At 45.8% G+C, this 14,799-nt stretch overlaps 1 long non-coding RNA gene across 3 annotated transcripts in view, besides 2 other annotated features; it reads left to right on the top strand.

Moving 5' to 3' along the window:
- LINC02028 (long intergenic non-protein coding RNA 2028) overlaps window positions 1-14,799 on the top strand; it is a 65,515-nt gene that overhangs the window by 10,827 nt on the left and 39,889 nt on the right. The window contains exons 2-4 of one of the 3 annotated variants that reach the window (NR_136181.1): window positions 2,329-2,507; window positions 4,559-6,379; window positions 10,773-11,231. The exons of 1 other annotated variant lie outside the window; for it this stretch is intronic. This is a non-coding gene — a long non-coding RNA (long intergenic non-protein coding RNA 2028). Of the gene's footprint in view, window positions 1-2,328; window positions 2,508-4,558; window positions 6,380-7,701; window positions 7,785-10,772; window positions 11,232-14,799 lie in introns of those variants that run through there. One more of the 3 variants, NR_136180.1, reaches the window with a different exon arrangement.
- Window positions 1,571-1,620: an enhancer, noted in NCBI's record as "active region_21011". NCBI's record gives its function as "activates an Ori minimal core promoter by ATAC-STARR-seq in GM12878 lymphoblastoid cells {active_cell/tissue: GM12878}" and the evidence as "EXISTENCE:reporter gene assay evidence [ECO:0000049][PMID:35858748]".
- Window positions 2,256-3,201: an enhancer, noted in NCBI's record as "H3K4me1 hESC enhancer chr3:193774732-193775677 (GRCh37/hg19 assembly coordinates)". NCBI's record gives its function as "activates a minimal SCP1, AML or CMV promoter by ChIP-STARR-seq in naive H9 embryonic stem cells {active_cell/tissue: H9 hESC(naive)}" and the evidence as "EXISTENCE:reporter gene assay evidence [ECO:0000049][PMID:30033119]".

The following is a 14,799-nucleotide window of genomic DNA, read 5'->3' as shown; positions in this document are numbered from 1 at the left end:
CTGGGCCATACTTCAAGCCAATGAAAGCAGAATCTCTGGCTGCGAGGCCTAAGCATCTGTATTTTTAAAAGCTCCTCCAGGAGATTTTAACGTTGAGAACCACAGAGTTAGATGAATAGAAGCAGGGAGTCAGGAAAGGGGTGATTAATACTATGCCATGCCAGTGATGGACCAAAGAGCTTAAGCTTTTTTTTTTTTTCTTAGATGGAGGTTCGTTCTTGTCACCCAGGCTGTAGTGCAGTGGTGCGATCTTGGCTCACTGCAATCCCTGCCTCCCTGGTTCAAGTGATTCTCCCATGTCAGCCTCCCGAGTAGCTGGGATTACAGGCACCCACCACCATGCCCAGCTAATTTTTGTATTTTTAGTAGAAACGGGGTTTCACCATGTTGGCCAGGCTAGTCTCAAACTCCTGCCCTCAGGTGATCCACCCGCCTTGGCTTCCCAAAGCGCTGGGATTACAGGCGTGAGCCACCACACCCGGCCTGAGCCTAAGCTTTTCATTTCGAATAAGTCTCTGGATGTCAGAGCTGGATATATACCTTAAATATATGTCTCATTTTGGAGAAGGGAAACTGAGGCTCAGAGGCTTAGTAATGCTATATAGTATTATCCTGGCCAGAAACTTGTCTTCCACTGTATGCCTGTCACCTAAAGAGCAAGCTTGGGAATTAAAAGAACAAACTCCTGTCCATGAATCTAACCGTCTATTTATTTAGTAATATTTAAACACTGGAAATGGTTTCTGGTGGTGGAATCAGCACAGCTTTGTAGCTCTCAGATGTAAAGGCTGTGTCCCTTATTAGCTACTGCTTATTTTTTCTGAGCCTGTCTTCTCATCTGGCAAATAAGAATTAAGAATAACTACTCTCCAAGTGTTATCACAAATGAGATGACAGCAGGTAAAACATGTAGTATGTGCTCAGAAAACTAAATGGAATTATAATTATTAACTGCGTTAAAAAAATCTGGGGATTTATGTAGAAATAGCTGCAGAGGGGATAAAAAGAGCTTCTTGGAGCTTCTTTGCATGAAATATCATAACCCTGCAAAGGTTGTTTTTGGTTTCTATTGATTGAAAACACAAATAAACCCCAACTGAAGCACTCTTATGAAGGAATGAATGGATTTCCAATCTGTGTTTTCTTGTTTACTGTGGAAAATATGCGATCCAAGGAAAACACAGGTGGTTAAACTGCTCAGTGCCTCTATTTTTATCATAAGCAGAGGGCTCTAAGCATTCAAACCCAAATATTTTACTTAATAGAAAATGAAGACTTAACTTCTCAAGGTTAACTGGATCCAGGTTTCCTGTGGCCAAATTTAGATTTTCAGCCATCAGTTGAAATTCCAAAACAATAATAAAAAGCTCACAATTAGCATTTTTAAAGAAGCATTTTCTTTTCATTTAGGAACTTTTGCTTTTTTGGCATCCCTTTTGTTTTGCAAAAATAAAATCTTAGTAGGGAGAGGAAAGCCACCTCCCCGGGTTGGATGCTTGCGAGATGAAGATGGGAGCCCACCCCGCAGGGCCCTGGAGAAGGTGGCGCCCCTCCCCCCTGCCCCCGTCCCCCTCCCCACTCCCCTCTTCTCTCCCCGCTGCCCGCCCCGCCACCCGGGCTTGTGCGGACGTGTCTCGGGCGTGACCTTTGAGCAGCTGCGCCACCGGCTCAGCCTCGCGGCGGGGGAAACCCGAGCTCCCAACAAAACGGTTCCATCTTTGGCTAGGCCTTTGGTATTTCAAGGCGCTGCCGGTGGGGAGAGATGCCGCGTGCCTGAGAGGCTCTGGGAGGTCGCCGCAGCTTTCGCTTCCCGGGTTTTACATTTCCGAAGGGGCTGAACGTCTGCAGAGGAACCGGAGCTGATGCTGGGGCTGGGGCTGGGGCCGGGGCGGGAACCTAACGAATGCACCTCTGGGGAGGCTAGAGGGAGCGCGGCTCAGCCTCCTCCCTGGGTGGGTCCTTCAGCGCTCTTTCCTTCTTTTTTTCTTTTCTGCAGATGTTATGTGGTCAACAGGGACTGAGGCTCTTTAAGCCCTTAAATCTCTAAGGGCTAAATCTCCTTCCTGATATTCGCCCCCAAACCGGTAACGGTTTTCACATGATTCAGATACCTCTCTACCTGCCTGAAGGACTGGAGTGCAAAGTTGAACTTGACTCAGATAAATGCATTGATCCTTCCCTGGGGAAAAAAGTTTAGACATCACTAATAGTAGTTAACTTTTGAGTGCTTCCTCTGTGCTAAGCACGGTTCTAATCACTTAAATGTAATAACTCATTTAATCATCACAACAATTCTATGACATAGGAATTCTTATTTCTGCCTAACAGGCACCAAAGAAGGCCCAGAGAGGTTTAACAACTTCCTCAGAATCACACAGCTTCCAAATGGTTGGGTTGGGTTTACATTTAGGCGGTCTTGCTCCAGAGCCAGTGCTCCTAACCTTTGCAAGCCACGAACCTCAAGAAAGTGGAGAAGGAAACGCTGGGAAATCTGGAAGTCAGACATGGCAAGTGAGGACTTTCTTTTTTCTTTTCTTTTCTTTTTTTCTTTTTTTAGAAGGAGTTTTGCTTTAATTGCCGAGGCTGGAGTCGGCTCACTGCAACCTCCGCCTCCCAGGTTCAAGCGACTCTCCTGCCTCAGCCTCCCAAGTAGCTGGGACTATGGGATTACAGGCATGCACCACCACGCCCGGCTAATTTTGTGTGTGTTTTTAGTAGATACGCGGTTTCTCCATGTTGGTCAGGCTGGTCTCGAACTCGCGACCTCAGGTGATCCGCCCACCTCGGCCTCCCAAAGTGCTAGGATACAGGCGTGAGCCATCACACCTGGCCAGGACCTTCTTAAATGCTCTGTTTTGGTCAGAAAGTGCTGGGACCCCGGGGTGGCACACCCAGCACTCACCAGGAACTAAGTACTTGCTGTCCGTTTTGGACACGTGCTGGCAGCTTGTTGACTCTCATGCCGCCATTCTCAAGAGGGGCTCCCTGGCAACCTCATCTATTGCCTGTTGGAAAGGGACAGGGCAGGCAGGGACAGGAGAGGCCGATGGCAGGCAGTTGGCTCCCAGGGTCGGTCTGAAGAGAGAGGAGAGAGGTGTGAGAAAGAGAGGGACCCACGGCATGAGGGTTGAGGCAGGGGCCAGGTCTTGCCTTGGATGCCCCAGGAAGTATGCCAGGCACTTGGGGGAACTCCTGCCCTGAAACAGTGAAGTCTGCATCCAGCAGGCCAGTTTGTTGATGAACAGGTTTGGCTAGACTGTCGAGGAGTCAGAATTTGTCCCTGTCTAGTTTGTTTCTTTGTATGGAGGTGTGGGCACAGAACGAGTCCTTAGAGGATGCTTCTGGGGAGAGAGCAGTGAAGACCAAAGTTCTAGGATGGTTTGAGAGCTCCCTTCTCTGGCACGTGGAAAAGCAAGATGTGTGCCCTCCCCCAAACACGCGCCACACCAGCTTCGCTTCCCACTGGTCTGAACGTCTCTCTTGGCTAATTCTTCCTCTTGGATTCCATTACCTTTGTGCTAACAGCTCCTACAGCGCCATTTTATATCAGCAAAAAGTACCCAGCACAGTTGCCTGAGTCAGGCAGGAAGAGCTTTGTGCCCCTCCCGCCGCCCACTCAGTACCCACCCACACAGCACACAGCAGGGGTACTGAAAGTGCATCTAGGCCGGGCGCGGTGGCTTACGCCTGTAATCCCAGCACTTTGGGAGGCTGAGGTGGGTGGATCACGAGGTCAAGAGATCGAGACCATCCTGGCCAACATGGTGAAACCCCATCTGTACTAAAAATACAAAAATTAGCCGGGCGTGGTGGCACATGCCTGTAGTCCCAGCTACTTGGGAGGCTGAGGCAGGAGAATCACTTGAACCCGAAAGGCAGAGGTTGCGGTGAGCTGAGATTGTGCCACTGCACTCCAACCTGGCGACAGAGTGAGACTCCGTCTCAAAAGCAAACAAACAAACAAAAAACAAAGTGCACCCACAGGGTGTCCTGGGGGTACCCATGCATCATCCTGACTGTCTGAGTATCCCCAGGCCAACCTTAAGAGTACAATATTCCTTCAGGTGGGTAAACTGGTATGGTGAGACCCTTTGTGGGTTCCTGTATGGCTCTGCCACTTACTTGCTATGTGACCTTGGGCAGGTTACTTAACTTTTCTGTGCTTCAGTCTTGTCATCAGCACAATGGTGATAATACTAACACCTACTTCAGAAGGTGTTGTAAGAACTTAAAGTGTTAGTAAGTCTAAAATGCCTGGCCCATGGCAAGTGCTCAATAAATATTAGTTTCTGCTTTTACTATTGTCACAACTATTATTAGTTTGGTGCAAAAGTAATCATGGTTTTTGCCATTGAAAGTAATGCCAAAACGCGATTACTTTTGTACTAACCTAATATTATTATGCAGCTCTAAGCAAGTAACTTTCCCTCTCTGAATCTCATTGTCCTCATGATGAGTGTAAGAGTGTCTGTTTCATAGGACTGTTGTGAGAATTAAACAGTGTTAATTACTATTGTAAAGTTTGCAATAAATAACCATTATTTATGTGTTGCTTTAGCCTAGTTTATCTCCCGGGAGCTGACTTCATTTCTAAACGTATAGGGGTTTCTTAGAGGAGCTTCAGAATACTAATCATCGCTAGTGAGGGCACTTGGACACTTTGCTTCACCTCAGCCAGCACCTCTTTTCCCAGCTGTAAAATGGTATGATAATAAGCACCCCTAGGAATCTCAAGGATGTTACGAGGGAAAAATATGCAATAATATACAAAGCACTTTGAGCTTCTCTGAAGACAGACGCATATAAATGGAAGGTGGTATTATAAGGTGGGGTAATCACTGGTTACCTCCCCCCCTTTTTTATTTAATTAGGAGAAAACCAGTAATTAGGAAGCATGGCCTTGTTAAAGCTGTGGCCTGGGAAATAGTTCTCTTGGCACCTAATCAGAACTGTGACATGGCGCAAATTTTTGCAAAATGTGGGCAGCAGGGGACCTTCCCCAAGGCTCAGACTGTGAGAAATTTGCGTCTAGGGGCCAGATCCTGAGGTGGCTGAGCTGGCTGGGGAGGCTTCTAAGGAGATCTTCACTCAGGTCTGCAAGGGGGCTCTGCCCTGCCTCAGTAGCCCTCATCTCTGGGGGCCCCAAAGTCATTCTCATCTGCAGGTTAGAGCTTGCTGCAGGCCCAGAACCAAGCTTGTCCACCACGTGGCCTTCTTGGACCCACTGGGGCAACTTCAGGGTTCTGAAAAGCACCTCAGATCTAGTCTGGTCTCTGATTCAGTAGCAGAGACAAAGAAATCCCCTGCCTGTTCCCCTTAAAATGGGCCATTGTGGAGTAGGTGCTGGGGCCCTAGCTTGCTCCCCACTGTGCCTTTGTTAGAGCATTAGCCTCCAGCGGAACCCACTGTCTCTCTCCTTGCGAGTCCCAGTTTGCCCATTCTCCCGGATCCTGCTTAAAGGCCGCCTCTGCCAGGAGGCCTTCCCAGGTCTTCCCAGTTACCATCACTCTCTTCCTCCTCTAGACTCTGTGTTTGGTACAGTGTGGTTTTTGTGTTTGTCCTGTCTTCTCTCACATTTGACTCTGAGCCACTGGAAGAAAGGGAAGGAAAGTAAGAGAAATGAAGTATTCCCATTCCCAGGCACCTGGCCAGTTGTTGCAGACAGAATGACCAGCACTGTTGTATTGATTCCCCCTCAATACGTTGAAAAAGCAAACGGGAGGCATCTGGAAAATCTTGAGATAAGCAGCTTCATTTTCAATGATGAGTCTTTTAAAATACACAGAAATGGTATAACAATCATGTATCCACCACTTAGACTACCAATGGTTACTTTTGTCATATTCACTTTAAATGTCTTTTTATTATGTATTTAAAAGAAGTGAAACTTGTAGATACAGCTAGGGCTCCCCGTGTCCACTCACTGAAGTCCCTTCCCTTTTGTCATATTCACTTTAAATGTCTTTTTATTATGTATTTAAAAGAAGTGAAACTTGTAGATATAGCTAGGGCTCCCCGTGTCCACTCACTGAAGTCCCTTCCCTCTCCCTTCTAGGGTCCACCACTTTCCTTGTCATCTGGTAAAGGACCCTGCATCCATGGATGGACAGAGGGGATTGCTAAAGTGCTGAATCGCGTGTGAAATTCTACGTGTGCCTCTTTCTCACACATGCCACATCCATTGCAGAGATGCTCTTGACTCAACCTTCCAGCAGTCTCCACTGCAACCACTCTGGCCAAGGCCACCATTTTCTTTTCTTTTCTTTTTCTCTCTCGCCATGGTTGGAGTGCAGTGGTGCGATCTAGGCTCACTGCAACCTCTGTCTCCAGGGTTGAAGCGATTCTTCTGCCTCAGCCTCCCGAGTAGCTGAGATTACAGGCACGCACCACCATGCCCAGCTAATTTTTGTATTTCTTAGTAGAGATGGGGTTTCACCATGTTGGCCATGCTGGTCTTGAACTCCTGACCTGGTGATCCACACGCCTCGGCCTCCCAAAGTGCTGGGATTACAGGTGTGAGCCACTGCGCCCGGCCCAGGCTACCATTTTTTGACATTTAAATCTTTTGCTCCCCGTAGCAGCCTCAGACAGACATTCTAAAGTCTTAGATCATATTGCCCCTTTGCTCAAAGTCCACTCATGGCTTTAGATTTAACTCAGTAAAATTCCTATGTGATATGTGTCTCCCGACTTCTGCCCCTGTGACCTCATCTCTCACTGAGGCAGCCTTCCTCCCACTTCCCGAGGTCCAGCCATGCTGCTCTTTTTGCTTGTCCTCATTCACGCTGGGCATGACCTCAGGCTGTTCATGCTCTTGTTGCTGTGCTCTTTCCCCAGATAACCACATGGCAAAACCGCTTATATTCTTTGGTTCTTTGCTCACATTCACTTCTCAATGAAGACTCCCTGACACATCCTGTTTAAAAATGTGACATCATTCCCACCTATCTCTCTCTTATCCTGCTCTAATTTTCCTTTTTCCATAGCACTCTTTACCAGGACAGGGTCTCACTCTGTTGCCCAGCCTGGAGTACAGTGGAGTGATCATGGCTCACTGAGGTCTCAACCTCCTGGTCTCAAGTGATCCTCCTACCTCAGCCTCCTGGGTAGCTGGGACTATAGGCACATTCTACCATGCCTGGCTAATTCTTCGTTTTTTTTTTTCTTTGTAGAGATGGGGTTTTGCCATGTTGTCCAGGCTGGTCTCGAACTCCTGGGCTCAAGTGATCTGCCCGCCTTAGCCTCCCAAAGTGCTGGGATTACAGGTGTGCACCACCTTGACTGGCCCATAGTACTTGTTTTCTAGCAAATTATATATTTTACGTATTTATTACATTCAATTTTTATTGCTTGTTTTTCTGTGTTACAATATAAGCTACATGAGAGCAGGAAATTCTGTCTATTTGTCCACTGATGTTTCTGAGTCCCTGCAATAGTGCCTGGCACATAGGTGCTCCATAAGTATTTGCTGAATGATTAAATAAATAAATGGATGAATGCATATGAGCATTTCTCACTGGAGAGGGTCCAGAACTTTCATTAGATTTTCCAAGGTGTCTGTGACACAAAAAAGGGTAGGAACCATTGACATAGTAACCCATCAAAAAGTTTGCTGGAAATTCTTTGCTTGCCAGGAAGTCTGCCTAATGAAGCAGGAGATCCTGAGGGATTTTTCTCCTTTTTTGATTTGTGTCTCTCCAGAGAGCTAATGCTGGCAGCTGTTGGGATGTCCTCTTCCAGGAATGGTGATGAGTTTCCCTGGATCCAGCCCTGGCTTGGCTGAGGTAGGGAACCAGGGAGGCATTGATGGAGGCCATGGGCAGGAGCCCTGGCAGTGGGCCTGTTCCAGAGAAGCTGTAATTTTCCTTGCTCCTTTTGTGGAGTCTGTCTGGGAGCAGAGGCTGAATGTGGCCACAGCCTCCTGAGCTTCCTTGAGGAGCTAGGCAAGATGCCGAGACCAACAGGACCTGCTTCTTGCCTTACAGGCTCCAAGTGTAGGCAAAGAGTAAGATCAGGACTTCTTGTAGGAGCCCTAGCCTGGGTGACCAGACAGTGGCCTGTGATGCAAAGAAAGATAATAGTCAAGTGGAGGGAGCTTGGAAACAAAAAGATACCAAAGGCCATCTGGAGGGGATAGTGGGAGTGAATTGGAGGTGAGTCAGCCAGCTCACAGGGCAGTTAAAAAGACAAGTGGGTAATTGTGGGTGCAGTCGGCAGGTCATACACAGAAAATGAGGAACAAGTGGTTAATTGGGCCCACAAGCCCAGGATCCCGCCTATAATTAGCAAATTGCAGGGCTTTGATATTTGCTTTGGTAACAACTTGTGTAGTAAATTGCAGGGAGGAAAACTGTACCCCCAGCCTGGGAGGTGACTCTGTGTCACCATTCTCTTACAAACACTTGTAGGCAGCACACACATGAATATACTCCCAGCATTGGGGGTGGGACTTGTACCTTTCTGCAGGCTGACAGCCTCCTGTGATGCTTTCTGTTTCCATTTACCCCTTGCTTAAGTTTTTGCCAATCAGGGCTGAAGCTGAGGGCTGGTTTCCTGGTGCATGCTGCCATTGTTCACACACTGATTTTCATGTTCCCTTAAGCTGTAGCCCTTGGGGAGGAGAGACCTTCTGGCCAGAGATGTGACCAGGAGTGGCCATGTGGGAATGGCCATGGGTAATTCCCATGCAAGTTCTATAGGAGGGGGAAGAGACACAAGTGAGTTCTGTTTCAGCATTGTTGAAATTTTGTCTATGAAGATGGTCAGTGCTTGTTCCTGATCAGAGACTGGCCTTTGTAGGTTTCATATCTGTGGCTACCTCTGCAGGCTTCTCAGCTATTGTGACCAAAGTGCAGACCAGAAGCATAGGAAAATGGCACTGGGATTGTCATGGTAAAACCCTATAAATGTCCACACATGCAGAGAGACTGGTGAGCACAGGCAATGAAAAGAGCACTAAATGAGTGTCAGGAGACCTGGGTTTGAATTTGCACTCCCTACTGATGGGTCTTGTCAAGTCACTTAAATACTTGTACATCATCTCTGTCATTTATAGGTCTGTTTCTATTGACTGATTTTTCTCTTGATTATGGGTCACCATTTTTCTGCGTCTTTATATGTCTAGTAATTTTTTATTAGATGGCAGACATTGTAATATTCTATCATTAAGTATTTGGACTTTGTTGTCTTCTTTTTTTAAAGAAAAATCTTGGTTTTGGCTTTGTTTGGGCTTTATTTTGGCAGACAGTTAAGTTACACATGGATCAGTTTGACATCTTTGAATCCTGGCTTTACACTTTGCTATGGAGAGTCTGGAGTAACCTTCACTCCAGGAATAATTCAGCCATTTTCCTCAAGTGTGATTTCTCTGGGTTCTTCACTGAATGTCCCAAGGGATCACCAAGGACTCTCCACGTTGGCTGGTTGATGCACAATTACGGCCTTACCTTTTGAGAGCTTTGGATTGTTCAGCTTCAACTCTCCTGTCGTTTCTCTTCCCTGGTCATGTAGAGTTTTACTTTATACACATATAGTTGAATACTCAGCAAAGACTCAGGAAAATATCTCAGCAGACTTATGGTGTTATTTTTCTGTGTATCTCCCTCCTTTCAAAAATTGTGATCCTCACCTCCTAGCTGCCTCAGGTCCACAGACTGATCTCTGTCTCCTCAACCTAGTGAAGCTACTGGACTGTGCTCTTGGGCTGGAAATTGCCTGCAAGCATAAAGCTAGGGTTATTTCAGGTCTCACCTCATTGATGCATTCTCTCACAGATTACAGTTTGCACTATCTATTTCCCAATGTCTGAGAACAGTAGTAATTCTATCAAGACTGGAAGTTGAAGTCTTCTCAAGTTAATAAAACTTGTTTTCCCAAATGTAGAGGCAGAATATAATAGTATTTTCCTCAAAAGTTAGTCGTGATAACTCAACTATGTAATGGATCTGAAAACACCTATAATGATGCATGAAAGAAGCAATTGAGCATAAAATTAGAATAGGTAATAAATTATAGTATTATTTTTCTTTTCCTTTGACACCAATAGTATAAATGGATTTATCATTTTCACAAAATTGTAGACTTTTAGAGCTGCAAGGGACTTATCTCAGGAAGATAAAATTGGGTTGCTCCAAATACCTCATTTTACAGATGAGTAGACTGAAGCTTAGTGAGGGAAAGCAATTTTCCCAATCCCCCATGGCCTATTAGTAGAAGAATGAGACTGGCACTCAGGTATCTTGGCTCCCAGCCTATGGGGCATCTATTCATTCAGCTCACATTTATTGAGTGTCTACTAAGTTCAGAACATTGAACTAATTGCTATATTGCCTCTCTATAATATCTTAGTTTGCAGAAATGTTAAAAAATCAATTTTGGAACATTATACTAAGTTCAATAAATCAGCATATAATTTTGGACTTCTCTGGAGTGAGTAAGTCTGATTGACATTAATTGGAGCAGCCTCCATTGTCCAATGCAAAAATGCAAAGTGCTTCCAGCATTCAGATCTCATGGGATATTCTATTATAGTGCTTTAGACATATGAACATGTCAGGTAATTACTGTGGTTTTATGGCCCTGTCAGTTATGGTTATAGGGAAGCTAAGGATTTACTCTGCATGCAGCCCTTCCAGCCACTCAATGTAAAAATGGATGATAAAACTTTTAAGAAAAGTGTGCAGTATGTTGCGAGATGTGAACAGAACACCATATAAGATGTCAGGGGGCCTGGATTCTAGACTTGGTTTGTTACTTCCATTTTTTGTGCCTAGGTTTTTCTCACTGTAAGAAGAGGACAATAGCCTATGATCTACAGTGCCCATTCCAACTCAGAGAATCTTTACATCTGGAGATCTATAGCAGGGCTATCCCTAGTGACATGCGTGAAGAAGCTTGGAAATGGTGCTGGGTAGGAGCTGAGTGTGCAGAATGTGGAAAGGCATTCTAAACCAAAGGAAGAACACGAGTAAAGATGATGAAGCAGGGATAAGGCTAAAATGAAATTTGTGATCTGATCCACATACAAGCACAGTGTAGTACAGCTGGAATATAGAGAAGAGCTTGAAGACTTATGAGCAACTATCCCGGTACTCTTGGAGGCTCTGCAACCACAGTTTGAGAAACTCCGCGTTCAAAGTTAAAAACTGTCACCTGAATAGTTAATAACATCAAAGATTGTGAAAGCAAGTATAAATAACACAGAGATTAAAATAATGAGGCAGGATCAGAAAGTGAGTGTTATATTTATCTATTTTTTCCTGTATCACTGAAACAAAAACATAACATTTCAAAATTATTGTGTAGAACTCCTCTCCTCTTCCAGAACAATGCTCAGAGCTTTGCAGACTCTGGTTTGCAAAAACATCATGAAAGGGGATAGTGGTAGATGAGATGAGAAATGTTGATCAGGAGGAGATCACGGAAAGCCTTGAACACCAGGCTTCAGGGCTAGTCACTTATTCTGCAGGCTGTAGAGTTGTAGGGAGTGAGTGATACTTTATGAGCAAAAGGCTTAGTATGCTGAGGTCTGTGTTTCAGGTTTCTTTGGTTACAGTGTGAGGGATGGACTACAGGGGTAGAACAGAGGTCTTGTCAGGAGGCTGGCTCAATAGCCCTGGTGGCAAGGAATGAAGGATGAAAGTCTGAGGACCCTGACACAAGGCGAGTGATAGAGGAAGGCTGAGGATGAAAAATGAATGAGACCTGTTTGTTGACTGCCATGGAGGTCAGGATGAAGCCCATATTACTAGGTTTCTAGGCCACGTGATGGGGTGAGTGGTGATTGTAGAATCACCCCAGAGGCAGAGCAGCAATTCAAAACAGGATTTGAGACAGAGAGAGAGCGACAAATCTGGGCTTTTATTTGATTCATTCTATTTTTTCCATGTTTGAAAGTAAAAAGGATAAATGCATCTATTCCTTGGAGTTTTGTAAGGACTGATGAATTAGCATATATGAAAGCATTATTATTTATATAAGTTTGCAAGTTTGGAGGGAAATAATTAGTTTAATTAGGACCGTATCAAACATTTCAAACTCATTCTGAGTAAAGAGCTTATTAGCCAAGGGGCTCTCTGTAGGGTCAGATTACTTCCAGCCACTGGATTGGGCCATAGTTCAAGGCCAGAAGCTTGTTTCCACAAGCATCAGGACCTTTCTCTCTCTTCTTTTCATTACCAACCCCCTACCCCCACTGCCATCCTTTTCTAGATCTCTTACGTAGTAAATGCAAAAAAAAAAAAAAAAAAGTGCACAAACATTATGTGAAAAGCATATTCAATTGAACCAATGAGTTTATTCAGTTGACTCTTCTGAGGACATACCTGTGCCAGGCCGTGGTACCTAGATGTGTGAGAGACTGTGGCATTCTCCTCTTCTCCATGCTTGGACAGTACCATCAGCATTGAGGCTCACAGAGTTGCCTTGCCTTGGGAGATGCAGGCTTTGGTGAGAGTGCCCCATGGAGCCTGACCTTAGTTGCAGGCCTTCAATGTGATGAGCAAGACCAGGCACTCTTTCTCAGGCTCCTGATCCCCATGTGGTCTGCATATTGCTCAAATCAGCCAAACTCTCCCACATTGGCCTCCTCCCTTTTTCTCAGCTCCAGGAGACCAGCGTCCCCAAGCAAGGGAAACACTTTGCTCAGCTGCTTTCATCATGACAGCCAGTGCTGAGTGCAGAGCTGTCAGGAAGCCAGGCCACGCTGGCAGCTGGCAGTACAGGCCAGAGAGCAGGGTGGTGCTGCAGCAGGTGCCTGGGTGTCCCTGTGAGCTCAGTGGGACAACAAATCTTCTGTAGAATCCAGTGTGGACTTGGTTTGGCTTTCCAACAATTTTAACCCAACCAGATCCCTCCCTTTAGAATTCCTTCCCTTGGACAAAGCAACTGCAACTATAATTTCAGATTCAGAGGAAGCCTGCAAGCTCTGGCTTCCCTTCTTTGCTTCCTTTTTTTTTTTTTTTTTTTTTTGCGATGGAGTTTCACTCTTGTTGCCAAGGCATTGGAGTTCAGTGGTGTAATCTCGGTTCACTTCAACCTCTGCCTCCTGGGTTCAAGTGATTCTCCTGCCTCAGCCTCCAGAGTAGCTGGGATTACAGGTGTCTGCCACTATGCCTGGCTAATTTTTTGTATTTTTAGTAGAGAGGGGGTTTTGCCATTTTGGCCAGGCTAGTCTTGAACTCCTGACCTCAGGTGATCCACCTACCTCAGCCTCCCAAGTGCTGGGATGACAGGTGTGAGCCACCATCCCCGGCCCCTTCCTTACTTCTAACCCAATCTGGATGTTGTACTTTTACATACTTCTACCATTGAGGGTTTGGATCTAAGTCTCTTCCCCTTGAATCTGGTTGGGCTTGTGACTGCTTTGACAAGCAGTACAGCAGAAGTGACTCTATGTGATTTCAAAGCTAGGTCATAAAAAACCATGTGGCTTCCAGCTTGTTCACTGTGTACTTGTTTTTGGAGCACTGACCTGCTGTGTAAGAAGTCCAACTGCCCTGAGGCCACCAGGCTGGAGAGACCATGTATGGATAGGTTCTCTGATCAACAGTTTCTATCAAGCCCAGCCTTCTAGCCATCAAGCCCAGCCTTCTAGCCATGTCCACCAATGTGCCTGACATGTGAGTGAAGCCATCACAGACCCTTCAGACCAGCCCACCTGCCAGCTGAATACTTGTGAGTAACCTTGGTTGATACTATGTGGAACAGAATCTCTCAGCCAAGCCCTGCCTGAATTCCTGACCCACACATTCAGGAGATACAACGGAATGGCCAGGTTCTAATCCACTGAGTTTTGGGGTGGTTTATTATGCAGCAATAGATAACTAGAACACTGGACATAAATGGAAGAAGCTTTGCGGTCAGCTTTTAATAAGTTTAGGCTGATTTCATGTGATTTACCCCATCCATCTGCTCCTGCTCGTGATAATTCCATCTTGTTCAAAACTTGGATCAAGTTATCTCTTCACTGAGCCAAAACTTTACCTGGGTTTACCAACAGCTCCCTGAGCCTTGGCAACACTTTCAAGTTTCCCAACTATGGTTTGGTTGTCAGTAAAATTTCACATCCAGCCACATACTCACACTTAGCCCAACACAATAGCTGCATGCTACCTTAATCCAAATGATTTGCAAAAATTGCCAAAAGTTGGGACTGTGCTTGTAAAAGCTGTTCTCTATGGATCTGGATAAACAATTTACAGATAACACTTTCTCAGCAACTCCACATACCAGAAAGGGTAGCTTCCTATTTCTTGCCTTGCGCTTCAGGCCTACGTGGAGTATAAGATTTCTACTTGGGGCCGGGCACGGTGGCTCACGCCTCTAATCCCAGCACTTTGGGAGGCTGAGGCAGGCAGATCACCTGAGGTCAGGAGTTTGAGTCCAGCCTGACCAACATGGAGAAATCCCATCTCTACTAAAAATGCAAAATTAGCCGGGCATGGTGGTGCAGGCCTGTAATCCCAGTTACTCAGGAGGCTGAGGCAGGAGAAAATTCCCAGTTTCCTGAGTGGGGTGGAGGTGGGAGTCAGGGTGAGCACTGTCCCTGGGATCCAGCAACATGCTTGTGTGTGCAATTCTCTCAGTATGCTACAAGGACAGGTGTGGTGGTACAGAGGGATGTGGGGTCAAGCCTGAGAACAATCACATGCTTGCTATGTGACCTCAGACCACATAGTCTGAGTCTTAGTTTTCTCATTAGTCAAATGGGTACAATATTAATCCATTCACAGGAAATAGGGGGATGTCTTAGTTTGAGTTTTGTCAGAAGCAGCCTCTGAGACAAGGATGTGCAAGTTT

The sequence above is a fragment of the Homo sapiens genome, chromosome 3 (genome assembly GCF_000001405.40).
Source record: "Homo sapiens chromosome 3, GRCh38.p14 Primary Assembly".
Classification (NCBI taxonomy): Eukaryota; Metazoa; Chordata; class Mammalia; order Primates; family Hominidae; genus Homo; species Homo sapiens.
Note: the sequence above shows the minus strand (reverse complement) of the source record. Positions and strands in the feature narration are given on the sequence as shown.